The sequence below is a fragment of the Homo sapiens genome, chromosome 15 (genome assembly GCF_000001405.40).
Source record: "Homo sapiens chromosome 15, GRCh38.p14 Primary Assembly".
In the NCBI taxonomy this organism is placed as follows: Eukaryota; Metazoa; Chordata; class Mammalia; order Primates; family Hominidae; genus Homo; species Homo sapiens.
Genome location: NC_000015.10, coordinates 99,129,027 through 99,145,935, shown reverse-complemented (window position 1 = coordinate 99,145,935; position 16,909 = coordinate 99,129,027). Strand labels below are relative to the sequence as shown.

Below are 16,909 nucleotides of genomic sequence, written 5' to 3'. Positions count from 1 at the left end.
TGAAAGAGTCCGCTCTGAGGAGTTGTGCGGGTGGCAGTGGCTGGACCTCACCCCCTTTCTCCTTCATCTCCCATTTCCCTGCAAAGCCCAGGATCTCCCTTCCCACCTTCCCTGTGTTTCTCTCATGAGAGGCTCCCTACCCACCCACCAGTGCCTCAGTCCTCTGGTCATAGGATCAGTGTCCCTTCAAGTAAGGGAGCTGCAGGGCTGGGTGAGAGGGACAGACAGAGAAAGAAAGAGAGAGAGACAGAGACAGAGAGAGAGACATAGACTGAGAGAAAGAGGATGCAGGGGTGTGGTCTCTCAAACAAACACTCGGAATTCCTTCTCCCTGTGAGCCCACCACCACCACCACCACCTCCCCCCATCCCCACCACCTCCCTCCATCCCCATCCTGCCCTGTTTGTTTTTCACCTGCCGACTCCCCAGTCCTCAGGTGTCACTCCAGTGTCACCTCCTCACATAGGCCTCTGCTGGCCCAGCTACCCTGGATCGACCACCACCAAGGCCCTCCGGTATTCATTCATAGCCCCGTCGTCTTCTTTTTTCTTTTGTAGCTCTTATCACAAGTTGTTGACACGTTTATTTATGTATTTTAAAAATATCTTTCTCCGCTACTCCATTAGAAGCCCCCTGAGAGCAAGGCTCACTTCTGCCCATTCTCCACTCCATCCCCGAAGTAGCCACAGGGTTGGCGTGTTGCTGGTGTTCAGCAGACAGCTGCTTCAGGAAGTGGCGAATGTGGACAAAGACGTGGGTCCAGCCAGGATGAGGCTGGTATCTGGGTGGCTCAGAAAAACCACCCACTACCCCTGACTGTGTTTCTGTAGGGGAAGCCTGTCTGATGAATTACGTTTTGGTTTATTCCTTCAATTCCCCCAAGTTAGTCATTTCTGCCTGCCTTGTAATGGTTGGTAAATGAAAGCGTACTTGTATTTCTTGAAAGATTTATCACATTTCACGCTTCCACGTAGTAAGGCTTCCGAAGTCACCTTTTCTCTTAGTATCAGCCTTGAGAATTGACATGAAAACAGAAGCACAATTTTCAAGTTTCTGAGTAATTTCTCCCCCGTGGACGTAATCTGGCATTGGATAATGTGTATAAAGAAGAGTAGTGATTTCAGATCCTCAGCATTAGAGCAATTTTTTAAAATTTACCTTTCTTTAGCTTTTTCATTTCATGTAAGTACAAAATACAAGTAATAGCTTGACGAGCCTGGCTTGGAACCTTACCAGAAATGAATAGTATGCTTTTCTCAATTTTCTATTATGGAGTCACGTAGCCTTGTAACTTAAATGACCCTCTAGTTGCAGTCCTTGCTGCACTGTCTCCATGAATAAATAGGATGTGTTCCATCAGTACCTTCATCATCTGAAATTCCTCAATAGATGTTATGATGCAATTCTGGGACCTTAGGCAGGAGGTTAAGGGAGGAAGGGAGACACCACCAATCTACTTCTGCAGGATGCTGCTATGAAAATGGCCCTGAGTAACAGCTGCACATTTTCACAGATCCCCCTGAAACAGAAAATATTCTTCCTGAGTTTGGGTATTGAATTACTGTGGGTTTTTAAATGAGAGTATACCGAGTCACCTAACCCTGATCCCATAGCTGCCACTGAGCCACCCCTCTGTCCACACTGGGAAGGGTGTTAGCGCAAAGCCACCACAGCTAGGAGGATGGCTAACTGACGGCACCTATCCCAGGTTTCTTGGCTCCTGGGCTCCTTAGACTCCTAGCTTTCAAACCTCAAGGTCATGTCAAAAAGAATTCTGAAAGTTTGCATCAAATGCTTAAGATTGTCTCTCAACTACCCCAGCTTTCCGAATGAGTCCTAAGAGTAAGCAGCAAATAGTGAACGGCAGTCTTTCTCCTGTTGAAGGCTGGACTGGAATTTCGAGGGCTTTTCACACCACACACCCAGTGGAACTTCCCTAGCAGAGGTTTTAGTAACTGATGAGCCACTGGAGCCCTAGGGTCCAACTGTGTCTTAAGGAGTCTACAGGCTCCATGTAAGAATCTCCCCAGCTTACATGTTTGTCCTATTTAATCACTCACTTAGCAACTGCTGCATCGGCTTGTGTGCCAGGGGTTGTGCAAGGCCCTGGAACACAGTGGTGAGCAAGACAAACATGGCCCCATTTAGGGACAGCCTGCAGGCTGGTATAAAAGCAGACATTCCCTTTTGTCTTCCTGCAAGGGAAAGAAAAGCTCCCTGTTTGGTATTTAAGGAATAGTAGAAACACAAGTGACTTCTCACAACCCTGCATATAAAATCAAAGAGAATAAGAGCAATGTAATGAATGGCTCCTAAAATTCATCTGGACACTCCGGAGTTCAGTTTATTGTTCACTTTAAAGAAAAGTGAGAAACACCCCTTAGTGGCTGATTACAAGGAGCAGCATATCTGCCTCTCAGAAGAATCTGGGGAGCACAGAATATCTTTATTTATGGTGGAGAATGTTCTACTGTCAAGGTTTGGCGAGTTCTTTACTTAGCTCAGCGACATGTTTACAATGCCTGGCTCCAGCAGGTTCAATTAACATTTATTGACTTCCTCTCTGTCAATGCCTGTGTTTTTAACAAAAGAATCAAAACACCTACTTCACACAAAAATGCTTAAGTAAATTTAGCTAAGAAGAGCAGAATGCTGAAAAATTCAATTTATGTTTCTTAGATAAATATATAGCTATATAAAACATTTTCTAGTAGAAGTCCATAATGGGTTATTTTGCTGTTTTAAAAAGCTATCTTTGGAAGAGTAGTCATTTAATGGATGACCATTCTTTCCAGCCTTGGTGCCTGCTCTTACACTGTAATCACACAAGGGATTAGTGAGGGGCTGAGGATTTGTTTCTGTCTCCTAGCTGACACCCCTTTGCATCTCTTTTCACTTCAGCTGGAATTTTGGACAAATCTCCTTAGTAAGGATAAGTAACCTTAGGGGAAACAAATATATTAATACCAGGAAGAGTTGAGTTTTGACAAAGGTCTAGGGGTAGGGTAAGGATGGGGCGCCCCTCTTCAGGGCTTGATTACTGAAAAGGATCTCTTGACCCAACCAGAATCTTCTCTCCTAACTCCACTCTTCTCTACGAACACAGTAGTGAAAATGCTCCCAGGGAAAATGGTGAGCACACGGGTTTGTAACAGGTGGGGATGGTTAGTAGACACTGAGAATTTGCATAAGCACTGTCAGTTGCCTTCTCATTCTTCCCGGGGATTCGTGCATATTCACCAATGCTGTATGTCTTTCCCTAGAGAATGAGGGGCCAAGGAGCAGCAGCTTCAGTCACCAAAGGGGTAGGATGGAAATTCCTCTGAGTATTAGATTTTGAAGGCAATCTGTTAAGGCAGAGTGAACTGAGACCTCAGACTGTCTCAACTAACTGTTACAGTGTCAGTAAAACTCTAATGCCACAGTGAATGAATTAACAACAAGCAGTGACAACATCACCTCTCAAAATGAGCTGCATCAGAGGCACTCATAAATATATAAACACAGGGAAGTTTGGGTGGCTTTAAAATTAGCCCTGATCTTTTACACTGAGTGAAGGTATTTCTGGGCAAAATAGAGTCTATTCTGGTAAGAAGTGTTAACCCTGGAGAGAGGGGCCTCTCACTGATGGGTGGCAGTGGGGGAAGCATCTTGCCTCTCTTGCTCTGTGGCCCTTTCTGAGCACCACCTCCTCTGCCAGGCCCAGTGTGCCCAGGCTTCCAATAGCTGTAACCCAAGCAGGGTGCTGGAAGGGTTTTCATCAGGTACCATGGCTGTCAAAAACATGTCCGCATCCCCTCCCCTCAGAGCAACGGAGCTTAGTCAAAGTTCCTAAATTTCTAGGGTCGCAACAGCCTAAAGCATTAAAGCAATGCTGGCTCAACCCCATGGAATGAGCAGCTCAGCCCATTGCCTAGGCCAGGCCAAGGTCCCCGTGCAGATTTAGAAAGTCAAGGGCTTGTTGGACAGAGGGACAGGGATCCTTGCCTTTGTAGAATTTGAATTATGCATTAAATAAAAGAACAAGAAGAGTTTACTACTTCTTGATATTGTATATTTCTTAGTCAAATGACTAAGAAATAGTGAATATTTTCTGTTATTTAAAAAATCCTGTCATATTCTCATCTGATAGTTACTTTTTTCAAAGGACAACCACATTCTCAATTCCTCAGACTGAAACATTCAGTTTTTATAGTTTCCACAGCTTATAAAGACAAAGGCATTTGGCTGCTTGCATTTTAATTTTCTTGAAGACCTAAAAATGGTTGGCAGATCAGAATGAATAAACAGGCTTCAGTAGTAAGTCCCCAAACCCTCACACTTTTTTTTACTCAAGCTATTTATGTAGCACAATTCATCCGATTTTTAAAAAATATATTATGAAACATTTGTTATGCAGAAAAGTATGGATAACATAACAAAGACCTTTGAACTCACCATTCAGTATAAGAAATAAAACATGACCCATCCAGTTGAAGTCCCCTCTATACCTACCCCATCCCCAGATAACTACTTTTTTAAATTTGATATCATTCCCATGCTCTTCTTATTTTACTATGGTTTTGTTTTGCATGTTTTAAAACTTCATATTAAATTATAATACATATTATATGCATTCATCTGTCGTTTTCTTTTTCCCCTTGACTTTGTAATCATGAGATTCATCTATGTGGTTATATATACACATACATATATCAAACATTTATATATCACATACATATATAATATATACATATCACAGTTTACATATTCATTACTAAATATTGCTAAATTGTTTTACAAAGGGGCTATACCAGTTTGAATACCCACTATCAATATATAAAAGAATTCTTGTTGCTTTGTATCTTTAACAAAACTTGGTAGTTTTTGCAGTCTGGTGGGTGAAATGGTACCTACCTCATTGAGGTTTTAGTTTGTATTTCTGGTTGTTAATGAGATTAAGCATGTTTATTTCATCAGATTTCAACTCTTTGAATAATCTGTTTATATCTTTTGAGTGTTATTCTATTGAGAGGTTTTGGTTTGGTTTGGTATTTCTCATTACCTTATAGGAATTCTTCATGTATTCTGAATGTTAAACCTTTCTCATTTCTGTGCACTGCAAGAATCTTTCCTCAGCGTGGCTTGTCTTTCTACTTTGCTTATGGTGAATTTTGGTGCACAAATATTTTAGGTTTTCACATAGTTACATTTTATCAGTCTTTCACTTTTGCTTTGTCTAGATCTTGTCTAAGAAATACTTCCCTACCTCAAGATCGTATTTTCCGGTCAGGCATGGTGGCTCACTCCTATAATCCCCGCACTTTGGGAGGCCAAGGCAGGTGGATCACCTGCAGTCAGGAGTTTGAGACCAGCCTGGCCAACATGGTGAAACCTCATCTCTACTAAAAATGCAAAAATTAGCTGAGTGTGGTGGCGGGCACCTGTAATCTCAGCTACTCGGGAGGCTGAGGCAGGAAAATCACATGAACCCAGGAGGTGGAGGTTGCAGTGAGCCAAAATCACCCCACTTGCACTCCAGTCTGGGCGACAGAGTGAGACTCCATCAAAAAATATATATATATATATTTTCCAGTATTTTCATCTAAAAGCTCCAAGTTTTGCATTTCACACTTAGTCCTTCAAATCTTTCTTGAGCTTAATATTTGTGTTTGATTTGGGGTAGTGATCCATTTTCTTCCATTTGGAAAACCAGCGGTCCCAGTACCCATTTATTGACTAGCCCACCTCTTCCTCACCAATCCCGCAAGGCCATTTCTGTCATCTGTCAAGGCTTGGGCTCTCTGCCCTGTTCCACTGGTCTTTTTGTCTACCCCGGGTGACAAACATGCTGTCTTAATTACTTTATTTAAAAAAATAAAAGGGTCTTTGGCATTCAGTAAAGCAAGTTCCTCCACCTCTCCACCTCATTCTTTCTCAAAATTATTTTGGCCATTTTGGGCACAACTTTAATCTTTCTCCTCTCCTTGATTTGCCCTAGCCTACTACAAGCAATCAAATGGCAAGACTTAAAGTAAGCAGAAGGGAGAAATCAAGCCAAAGCCAGCCCTGGGTAGTCCATAAGCTGAATATTTGGTTCCTAATAACTAAGACATTGCTGTGTAGTCAAGAGTATAGACAGCCTATATATTAATAAAAGTAGAGTATGTGTTTACAAAAAAAACAAAACTATTTTTTTAAATCTTTTCCAGGCTATAACAAGGGCCACATTTAAAAATAGAAACTGGAGCCCATCCTCTGGTCAGTACCAAGGTTCTTGCCTTTATTTTTAAAAATACTACTTTTAAATCTATTTTTTGCATACAGATAGTCACAGAGAGTTTTGTGAAATAGTGCTAAAACTGTTCACTTTTGCCTAGATCCCTCAGAACATCCAAACCAAAGGTCAGTCACTAGGAGACATCCCAGGAGCATGCTAATTCCATCACAGCAGGGCCTAAGAATGAGGTCATCTTTCTCTCATTCAAGGGAGACCTTAGTTTCCTGCTCTCAGCGACACTTCCATAGCCTCATGATAGCTGCTTGGTGTTCTACAGTGTCTCCAGATCCAGACCCTCTTATATGGACCGCAGGACAAAAGGACTCTGGCCACCCAGCAGGCCATGGGCATGCTGTCCACGTGAGTTGGCGTCCCTCACACTTTCTCTATCTCATTCCCTTTCCATTCAGAATCTCAAGAGAAAGCTGGTTCTAGAAGGTTCTGTGTAACCTTCTCTGGAATGTTTTGCTGACTTCCCATAACTTGCATAAAGGACAAGTTCCTTTGAAACCCGAGTTGTAAAAGATCTTCCTTGCCCAGGTATTTAAAAATAATTCATCCTTTAAGTCAGAAATATATGCTGGATGTTGTCTTCCTGCAGACCAGCCCCTGCAGGCTAAGGCACCTGCTGCAGGGGGAGGGCCCCGGGAATCCCTGTGGCCTCCTGCAGCCCTGCTTCCGGCTTCCCTCTGCCCTCGGATGCCCGTCAGGACTGGAGCCGGAAGGTTCACTGACTGACCTTAAAGGCTGGCCCCTACGTCCTTTCTCAGCCCGAGCAGAGGCCCAGCGCTCTGCCGTGGAGGGCCTACCTCACAGAGCCTGGTCCGCAGAGAGCAGCCCCAGGGCTGCCTGAGTCTGCTCAGGGAAACAGGGCCACAGCCCGGAGCAGACACAACCTGGCCAGCAGGGCGCCATCCCCTTTGAGGGCAGGGAAGGCGAGCCAGGGAGGCCTCCAGTGCAACCCTGACCATCCTCCTCACCCATGTCCTGCTCACCAAGCCAGCTAAGGGTTGAGGGCCTCAGCTCAGTGAGGATGGTCACAGGTGATTTTAAAAGATGGGAGGGGCCAGGCGAGGTGACTCATGCCTATAATCCCAGCACCTTGGGAGGCCGAGGCGGTGGATCACTTGAGGCCAGGAGTTTGAGACCAGACTGGCCAACATGGCAAAACTTCGTCTCTACTAAAAATACAAAAATTAGCTGGGCGTGGTGGCATGTGCCTGTAATCCTGGCTACTCGGGAGACTGAGGCATGAGAGTTGCTTGAACCTGGGAGGCGGAAGTTGCAGGGAGCCGAGATGGGGCCACTGCACTCCAGCCTGGGTGACAGAGTGAGACTCTGTCTGAAAAAAAAAAAATTAAAAAAATAAAAGATGGGAGGAAAACATCTCATGTTTTATGCTCTGTGCTACAATTCTCCTCTCATTTATAGCCCCTACCAAGTCTTCTCATAAATGGGTCTGGGCACCTGCTGGGCAGCAAAGGCTGGATGGGAACGGTGTGGGGGGCTGAGGGGCACCACACTCACCCCACCCTCTGCTTGTCTGCAGGGCCCCCAAGGTTGCTTCGAAGCCAAGGCAGGCATCAAAAGCCAAAGTGGCCTTCTGCACCAGCATCCCTCAGGACACCCTGCTGGGGAAGGCCCGGCCCGGCACAACAGCAGACTGAGGCCCCCACCCTGAAAAAGCCTAGGACATTCCTGGGCACTGTCATTTAGGGTGCTGTACAAATCACCTCCGCCTAGAAAATGGAATTCAACAGTCAGGATACAGATTTCCAAGGCCAACTGTTGGCCCCAACATGCAACAGTGAGACCATAAGCCTCCCGTGGGCCACATTTTGACAGTGGATGCCCTTCAGGGTGATATATGCTATAAAGCAGTTTTCTATCACCTAAGTGGTTTTTCTTGCCAACAAGAATTTTTACCCATCAGCACTACTGTGGCTGAAAAACTTCTCTTCAACAGTTCAGTGCGCCCTGTGCAGGAGTCAGCCCGGCATCTGCTTGTACACACAGCTCCTTGCATAGGTGTGGAGTTAGATCTGGACAGTGAACTTCAGGAAGTCCTTTCTTATAGGAGGCTAATAGGGATTGAGAATAACATGAGAAGAAAACGCTAATAAAGGGAAACCTGAACACGCTGCTGTCAGCATGTGTTTTCAAAGTGCAGCCTGCCTCAGAGTTCTTCGGAGCCTGAAAAGGGGTTTGAGAAAGAGCCCAGTAGGAGGGGCAGGAGGCCGACACACCTGACTTGGCCTGGGGCCCAGGAGGCAGGTGTAAGGGAGTGAAAAGAAAGGCTAGCCGGAGGCTGCGGGGGGAAGACCGCAGACTCCCTGCTGCTTCGCATCCCTCCTGTGGCCTCCACTGCAGGCAGGACAAACCTGGATGCCACCTGGAGCTGCTTCCTGAGTTGGCACACTATCGTGTACACAGCAGTCTTCAGCCCCCTGGAAGGAGGCCATAGTCGTGTGAGGATGGCAAAGTCGAACAGGAAGCTTTGAGTGCCTTCCTCCACGATGTCAACGAGGAGATCCAGTGCCAGATCGAGGTGGATGGAACACCCAGGGGTAGGGGTGCAGGTGTGGGCAGTGATGTCCCTTCCCCTCCCTCCCCTGGTCCCACAGACTGTGGCCATGAGGCTGCAGGCTGGTGCTATGACAGCAGATTGCAGCACAGGGCCCTCCCCTCCAGCCCCCAGTGGGACATCAAAACCACCCTGGGGCCATTTGTGCAGGGCACCACCTCCAGTATTGATGGGGAAAATAAACTCAGTAGAGCCACGACAGGGTGGAGAGAAGCAGGGACCATTGTCTTCCTCAGGAGCGTGACAGCTGACCCCACAGACCATGCTTGCTGGTACACACTGGTCCCAGACCCAGGCCTGTCGGACATCAGCAGTGTGCTAAAAACGTGTAAGATGTCACTACTCACCGTGTGTCCTATCTAGTTGACATGGGTGGAGTCAGCTAAGGGGTGAATGTTCATATGCTCCCAATTCACGTTGAAGCCCTAATCCCCAAAGGGATGGTATTGGGGGTGGGGTCTTGGAGAGGTGATTAGGTTATGAGGGTGGAGCCCTGATGAATGGGATTAGTGCTTTATAAGGAGAGACACCAGAGAGATGATCTCTCTCTCCACCATGTGAGGACACAGTGAGAAGACAGCCGTCTGCAGGCCCGGAAGAGAGCCCTCACCAGGAAATGAAACTGTTGGCACCTTGAGACTTCCCAGCTTCCAGAACTGTAAGAAATAAATGTTTGTTGTTTAAGCCTTTCAGGCTACGGCTTTCTGTTACAGCAGCCTGAACTGAGAGTCCATGCCGAGTTTTTGAAATAAATGTGAATTCTGATGTTACTTCTTCCTTTCTGTACTTCTTGAAGCGTAGCTTGGAATCACAAAAACTAAAACACATTTTTAAAATTTAGCGCCCCCACCCCACCCCACCCCAGGAAGCAATGAATTTAGGAATGTTCCCTCCAATGTCTCCCATCTGTTAATTCTGTTGACTTCAACGAGAGGAAGACTATAGCTACTTGTGTTTTTCTATTTTTGGTAAAGGGCTACAAGGTTACAAACGGGTAAAGATATCTAGCTATTCCTTTGTCTCAAACTACCTCAGTTTTTTCAAGCCCCTAAGAAATGGCCATGCCTTAGGGTTAACCCTCCAATTTGCACTTATAAGGTAACCAACTGTCCTGGTATGCCCAGGACAGTCCTGGTTTTAGCACTCAAAGTACCACATCCCAAGAAACCTCTCCATCCCAAATGGGATGGTTGGTGGTGTCCTACTGCCACTAGTCATTCAGGCTGTGATGATGACATTTTTACCACAAATTGTCCAGTGTATATTTGATTACAAGCCAATTGGCTTATGCTCTGTCTGCCAGGCTTTCTAGCTCTGTGCTCCCAATATTGAGTTCCGATTCAGGTGAGGAATTAGAGAACTGGAACTTTTCATATATATTCTGCCCAGTAATTCTCTGCTACCCTAAAAACATGCATGTAAACACACAGATTCTTTACTTAGAGTTTAAAGGAAACATCAAAATCTACTGAAAATATTCATTCTCTTTAGGAACAATGTGGGTTTTTTCCTCAGATTTTTATTTTTGCACATTCTTGTGACATTTCCCATTGTAGGGAACAGGAGTTTAGCAAAATCAGCTTCTTAGATGATGTCATTCTAAATATACATCTTAAACAAACAATATCAAAACCACCAGTAGGAAACTGAAAAACACTCAGTGAGTACTGTTTTGTCTCAGTAACAATAAATACAAAAAGACTGGTTGTGTTCCGGCCCCATCCAACCACGAAGTTGATTTCTCTTGTGTGCAGAGTGACTGATTTTAAAGGACATGGAGCTTGTCACAATGTCACAATGTCACAGTGTGAAGGGCACACTCACTCCCGCGTGATTCACATTTAGCAACCAACAATAGCTCATGAGTCCATACTTGTAAATACTTTTGGCAGAATACTTCTTGAAACTTGCAGATGATAATTAAGATCCAAGATATTTCCCAAAGTAAATAGAAGTGGGTCATAATATTAATTACCTGTTCACATCAGCTTCCATTTACAAGTCATGAGCCCAGACACTGACATCAAACTGAGCCCACTTAGACTCCTCACCACCAGTCTGTCCTGTCATCAGACAGGAGGCTGTCACCTTGACCAAATTCTCACCAGTCAATCATCTATCCAAAAACCATTACCTGTTACAGCTAAAACAAAATCAGCACATCTCTGTCTGTATTAGAAACGACAAAACCTTACAAAGCAGTCACCTCCATACCAGTCTGACAATCACTAGTTCATTTGGCAGATGGACAACAAAGGTTTAAACTTGCTATTCCAATCAACTTTCTTTCCCTATCTGATTCATGGTGTTTTTAAAATAGTATCTTGAAAGCTGTGCTGCATTTCTCCTCCACTTATCAATGAAGAAAACGTGCTCTCCAGAAACTACCTGCGGTAGCCACTCCCAGGACCTGGGGAGACGTGCACCCTGGGGGTCTGAGGGCCTCCAGGTGAATCTGAGAGGGAAGACCCTCCAGTGCTGTCGTTGTAGCCTGGCTGAGGGTGGTGCTAGCTCAGACTGTTATTCCCCAGTGCGCCACAGTCAGTGCGATGATGCTGTGTTACTGGAAATACAGCTGAGACAGCATTATGTGAAAGAAGCTAGCCTGAACTAAAAAAAATGCGCTGCTAGCGAAACTCTTTTTATATATGATGCTACACTTTACAGACAGAAACTTTAAAACAATACTGACGTGTAAAATAAAATGAATCCAATGAAGCATGCTCATCCCAGTATCTTAAACTCGGTGGTGCCTATCTACAGGTCCACACTCCGCGGCCCATGAGCATGGGGGCCTTTCTCGCCCCCCAGGCCCGTCCTGGGTATCTCGGTGCTGGGCTGCAGGAGAGATATCCAGTTCCTTCCCCAAAACATCCTTCTATTTAATAAACTGTTTCCCTGGACAAAACACCCCAACTGCAATGACTTCTGTTCAAAGTGCAAAAAAAGCTTCCGTGAGGTGGGTTCATGGTTGTTATTGTATTCATCTTTCACCCTTGAGCTCAGAAAGACCTGCATCCCATGAATGGAGGGTTGGGAAAGGCATCTTTAAGAGGCACAGTCCACTGTGTGCTTCCAATTTTCCTGTACACAGCCAGCTTGCCGGTCCAGCTGCAGTCTGAGTATCGGCATTCTCTTCATTGTCTTCAAGGTCTACCTCCCACCAGTGAAATTAAATGTTTGGGTGCTAAGGGATAAGGTGCAGAGAAGCGCAAGTCTGCACAGTCTGATAGGAACTGGCCACTCCAGAAAAGGGCATTCAGACTGTGTGCTACTTAATGACCTAGTGCCAAAAAATGAAATGGTACTGTAAGCGATTCCCAATAATCATCTACCCTACCAGTGCCAGGGAACCTGTGCAAATAGAATGTGAAATATCACAACAGACTACAGCTGTCCTCGCCATAAATACTATATTGTTTAAAGTTCTGTACATAGAAAGCAATTCATTCAAGTCTTAAGATGAATTTAGCTCTATATGGCAAGTAATTTTTTCCTAAAGATGAAATCATTTAGCAAGAATTTTTTTAACATAAACAGTCTGCCTATTTCCCATTTCTTTTTGAAAAGACTTTTTAGAGTCTAAATTGTATTTATTTTTCCCCTAAAATGTTAGTCTGTTATTTCATATTAGCACATGCAAGCAAAATTTACTCTTAAATATATTACTTTAATCTGGTTAATGTTTTGACATCTATAATTAATTGTAGTTTCAAACAGATGCAAGCCATGTCTGTGACCAGGTGCAAAACATAGAAATTCATCTCCAGAAGTGGAGAGAAGACTCCAGGGAAAAAAGTGTTTTGTAAAAGTCCCAACTCAAAAATAAAATTGCAGTGCCTTTTAAGGCATGAATTAACTGGAAACCTTTACGGATTAACTATAAAGGAAATTGACCATGCCGGGAGTACTCTTTAAAAAAGTAAAAAAGGGGAGATTTTCATAGACTCCCTCGGCCTCTTAAAATAAGTTAAGGCCTTTGGATGTTGGCACGTCGCCAACAGGCTGCCATTAAAACAAAATGTTTCTGCTTATTAAAACCAATGCCCATCATTCTCCTCCTCCTCATTGTCTAGATAGAGGAGGGCAACTTTCTTTTCATCTGAAATCACCGACCTTTGGTCTACCATTCTCTGGAGCTGCACCTTCTTATCAAACATGGCCTGCTCCTTGCCCTGTTCTCTGTGGGCCTGGTCTCCTTCCCCAGCAGAGGCCTTAAAGCTCACACCAACTGCCTGGTCATTCCTACTGTCCGCGTCTCTCCAGGAACCACGGTCAGACACACCGAGAGCTCCCGCTTCCTGTGTCCGGCTGCGGATCGCCTCTACGTTACTCACATCCATCTGAAAGGTAAACGAAGTTTCTTTGGGCCCTGGTGCAATGTGCCTTAGCGTTCTGCTGCTGTCTGCTAACTTGCCTAGCTCAGGGGAGTCCGCTGAACCAGCAAGCACAAATGTTCTGGACACGGGTCCACGGATGGCAATGTGTTCAGAGGTTTCCGTTTCTGTAGGACCTAGTCGAATGTGCCTAAAGGATCTGCTAACACCCGATGTCATTTCTGCCCCTGATGTGTCCTCTGCACTATCCTCCTGGGGAGATTCAGAAACGACACTTTGGAAGGTGCTCTTTTCAGTCATAACGGTTTGTCTACCCGAGGTATGACTGTGAGTGGCCTGGTGCACATCTGCTGAGCCCTCTCCGTGCACAGTGCTCTCTGAGTCACCAGATTCCCCCAGTTGGGGAACCAGCCCATGGTAAACTATCTGCTGGGTGGTCTGATGCCTCTGAGGCCCAATGCTGATGTGCCTGATGGATGTGCTGCTCCCTGGCAACCCTTCCATGTGTACAGAATCTCCTATGACACCCAACTCCACCTTGTCTGAAAGTGGAGCTGTGAACTGGATTTGCCCACTGAACCCTTCTTTAGGGCCTAACTGGAGTTGCCTGACAGAAGTCTGGGTACCCACTGACTCTTCTGTTGCAAAATAATCACCAACCTTCCCTGCAGCAGAAATGGGGCCCTGAAAAATAATCTCCTTTTCAGCATGAAATTGTCTGCAGCCAAATGTGCTGTGCCTCCCTGATCCGTCCATATCTGCAGAAGACTCTGCTGGGCCAGGTTCTGGCGAGCCCCATGCCTCTGGACAGGCAGGGGCAGGGCCTAGGAAGATGACTTCTCTGGACAGTGGACTTTGACCGGGACCCAGCGTGACATGCCTCACAGACCGGCTGGCTCCGGTCGGGCTCGCTGCCTGACTTAGGTCACCTCCCGCACTTACCTCCACCACTTCTGCAGTGGGTCCTTCATATGACATTCGCTCAGTCCTCCAGACTTCAGAGGGGCCGAGTTTTATGTGCCTTGCAGCCTGGCTCACATCCTCCAGCACCTGTGACTGGGCAAAGCCTGTGGGGCTGCTGACCTCCACAGTGGCCGACACTGGGCCCTGGGGAGTGCGCTGTCCCGAGCTGTGAGAGGCCCCACCAGCAACCTCGCTCTCGCCTGAAGGGATGTACAGCTCCCGGGTGGCCCAACGCCTAAAGCGAATGCCAGCAGCCGGGGCCTCCGCTCCACCTTCCTCATCTGGGCTGCCAGGCGCTGGGCTGCGTTGCCTGCTCAGGCTCTCCCGAACCACCGACTCCACAGCCTTCTCCATCTCACTGGCCTCATCTTTGCTCAGCTCCTCCAGGTCTAACCGATCGGCATCCACAGTTTGTGAGACGTTGACTTCAGCAACCAGGGTCACGGAACTGCCACCAGCACCCTGGACCTTCTTGACATCCACGGAAACGCTCCCCGGCCCACCCTGCCCCTCTCTGGTGAGGGCGGACAGCTCCTCCCTCATGCGCTCGGGAAGGGTTTCCTCCAGCTGCCCGATGACCTCCACCAGCTGCTGCCGGGGCTCCTTGGAGGAGATGCCCTTCATGGAGGTGTGGAATTCGTGGGGTATTTTAATTTCTTTTTCAATGACTGTGGGTTCGGCATGAAATTCACCGCTTCTAGCTTGTTCTTTCCAGTGAGTGGAACCCAGGTCCCCCTCCAGAGAGGGCGCTGGGACATCCAAGGGCTTCACAACCTTCTCGCCCACTGCACCGTCCTTCTGTGTCCTCCTTCGAGTCCCCTGCACGATTTCATCCTGCCAAGAGTACCTGATGGTGGATTCCTCCTCGATGTGGATCTGCCCGTACACCGAGCCGTCATCTCTGTCGTGCCCCCCGGGGTGTTCATCTGGAGTGGACACAAAATAACTCTGCTCGCCCTCTGAATCACCTGCCTCTGTCACTTCTTCCACGTGAGTCGTGTTCTCCTGAGGCTGCTTGGTCCTTCGATGCTGATTAACTGAGAATGTGACATCGCTTTCTCCATAACCTTCCTCCTCCTTAACCAACCCCCAGGGGCCTGGCGACACATCTTCGACCTCCTCCACTTTGAATGGGACGGAAAACTCCTCCGGCTTCTCCCCGCTGACATAACTCACGGGCTCCTCCACGATCTCCACGTTGACGACCTTTGCTCTCCCCTCCCTCCCTTTCAGGCCGAGGTTGATGATGTCTCCTATCATCTGCTCGGCTGACTTGCCTTTCAGCCCCACTTCCTTAATATCCTTGCTTAAAAGGTAGTCCAGGCCAGCTTCATCGGAAACATCAACATCCTCAGTCAGTTTAGACTCCACAACTATTTCAGTCTTTGTTTTCCTTTCCCCAGGAAGCTCTTTCCTGTCCACGTAAGTGACTTTTGTGTCTGGAAAAGAATCAGCAGATGCTTCTGTCTCTGGAGACTGAGTGAACTGCTTCAGGATACTGGTAACGATGTTTTCTGCTACGGTTTCTGTCATGGAATCGCCTTGCAGAGAACCAGTGGCATCACTGGTGCCCAACCTGAACCGTAGCTCTCTTGCTTCTGCCTCTCTACCGGTCCCACCACCAGCATCCTTCACAGGCGTCTGCAAACCTTTCGGGGACACCTCTGCTCTTCTGTCCTGGGATACTTCTAGACTAATCGGCACCTCTCTCTCTCGCACGCTCTTCTCCTTCGGTGAGTCCTTCTCCTTAGCCTTCTCCTTCATCTGCTGGCTTTCTCTCTGTCTCGCTTCCTTATCTAACTTTGTCAATTCTTCCCATCTTAGGTTTCTCTCCTCGGAAGCCTTCTCTTTAGAATCGAACATTTTCTCTTCTGGCTTTGTTCGGATGGTTTCTGGTCTGTTTCTTTCTTGCTCCCTCGTGGCTTTCACTTCTGTTTTCTTTCCCAGAATGACGGTCCTCTCATTTGACCGTGTGCTTTCCGAAGCACCTGCTGCCACCTTGTCTCGGCGATCCCGGTACGACTCGCGGGCAATTGTGGAATCTTCACCTATGTAAACGGGGACCTCCCTTGTATCTCCGGCTTTTGGTCTGTCAGGGAATGTTTTCACTTGAGCCTCAGTATTTCTTAAAAGGCCATAGGTTGGAGAGAAAGTTCTGACGTTGGTTTGACTGCTGACGGCTTTTCCGTATGAGTTTTCCTGCTGGGTAGTGGCCGAGGAAGAATATCCCGAGCCCAAGAAGCCTCTTCTGGCATCACCTCCAATAGATGTGCCCGTCTGAGATCCACGGTGCCCTGACAGGTTAGAATACAGTGCCGAGCTGTGATTGAAACTTGCCAAAGGTGCTTTCTGCCTTGAAAATAGATTCCTTTCATTTTCCCTCTGTAGTAGTGAGTCGGTATAGTGATAGGATTTGTTTCTGAATTCTGTAGAAATTGAACAAAGCATTCATTAAAATGACAGTCATCATTACCCTTTTCCATCTACAAGCATTGTTGCAGGCCAAATCCCATTCCATCATAATAAATATACACTGTTACCACAGAAAGCTCATTATAAAGATAAGTTATATTTGGTGCCCAAATTATTTTTTGGCAGTTTACAAAATCCTGTTACAATAAAATGTAGCACTACAAATACTTCAGCCTAACACGTTTCTCCAGTTACTGATATTAAAATACTCACTCATCTTAACATTAATCATAAAGCACAATGCATATCCCAGAGAGGTCAGAGGTGCTCGTTTTTGTGGCTGAAATTTCACAA

The 16,909-nt window shown here is 46.4% G+C and overlaps 2 protein-coding genes and 1 long non-coding RNA gene across 23 annotated transcripts in view, besides 1 other annotated feature; 1 reads left to right on the top strand and 2 right to left on the bottom strand.

Moving 5' to 3' along the window:
• Positions 1-9,613, top strand: part of TTC23 (tetratricopeptide repeat domain 23) — a 114,903-nt gene extending 105,290 nt beyond the window's left edge. For 8 of the 19 annotated variants that reach the window (XM_011521936.2, XM_047432954.1, XM_011521939.2 and 5 more), the window contains 3 exons: positions 6,192-6,240; positions 6,360-6,619; positions 7,809-9,613. In XM_011521936.2, coding sequence (XP_011520238.1) covers positions 6,192-6,240; positions 6,360-6,619; positions 7,809-7,940 — 441 coding nt within the window. In that variant the 3' untranslated portion in view covers positions 7,941-9,613. Of the gene's footprint in view, positions 1-6,191; positions 6,241-6,359; positions 6,620-6,669; positions 6,756-7,808 lie in introns of those variants that run through there. The other 11 variants (NM_001288616.3, NM_001353869.2, XM_017022518.2 and 8 more) reach the window with 6 other exon arrangements.
• Positions 543-6,619, bottom strand: TTC23-AS1 (TTC23 antisense RNA 1). Its single transcript, NR_186223.1, has 2 exons — positions 4,897-6,619; positions 543-1,519 (listed from the first exon to the last, which is right to left on the bottom strand). It is a non-coding gene; the product is annotated as a TTC23 antisense RNA 1 (long non-coding RNA).
• Positions 4,169-16,909, bottom strand: part of SYNM (synemin) — a 36,688-nt gene continuing 23,947 nt past the window's right edge. Inside the window, exons 4-5 of one of the 3 annotated variants that reach the window (XM_017022035.2) lie at positions 14,123-16,569; positions 4,169-9,499 (exon numbers count right to left, since the gene is read on the bottom strand). In XM_017022035.2, the coding sequence (XP_016877524.1) occupies positions 9,350-9,499; positions 14,123-16,569 (2,597 nt within the window). In that variant the 3' untranslated portion in view covers positions 4,169-9,349. Of the gene's footprint in view, positions 9,500-10,342; positions 16,570-16,909 lie in introns of those variants that run through there. The other 2 variants (NM_015286.6, NM_145728.3) reach the window with 2 other exon arrangements.
• Positions 8,671-9,172: an enhancer, noted in NCBI's record as "H3K4me1 hESC enhancer chr15:99676969-99677470 (GRCh37/hg19 assembly coordinates)". NCBI's record gives its function as "activates a minimal SCP1, AML or CMV promoter by ChIP-STARR-seq in naive H9 embryonic stem cells {active_cell/tissue: H9 hESC(naive)}" and the evidence as "EXISTENCE:reporter gene assay evidence [ECO:0000049][PMID:30033119]".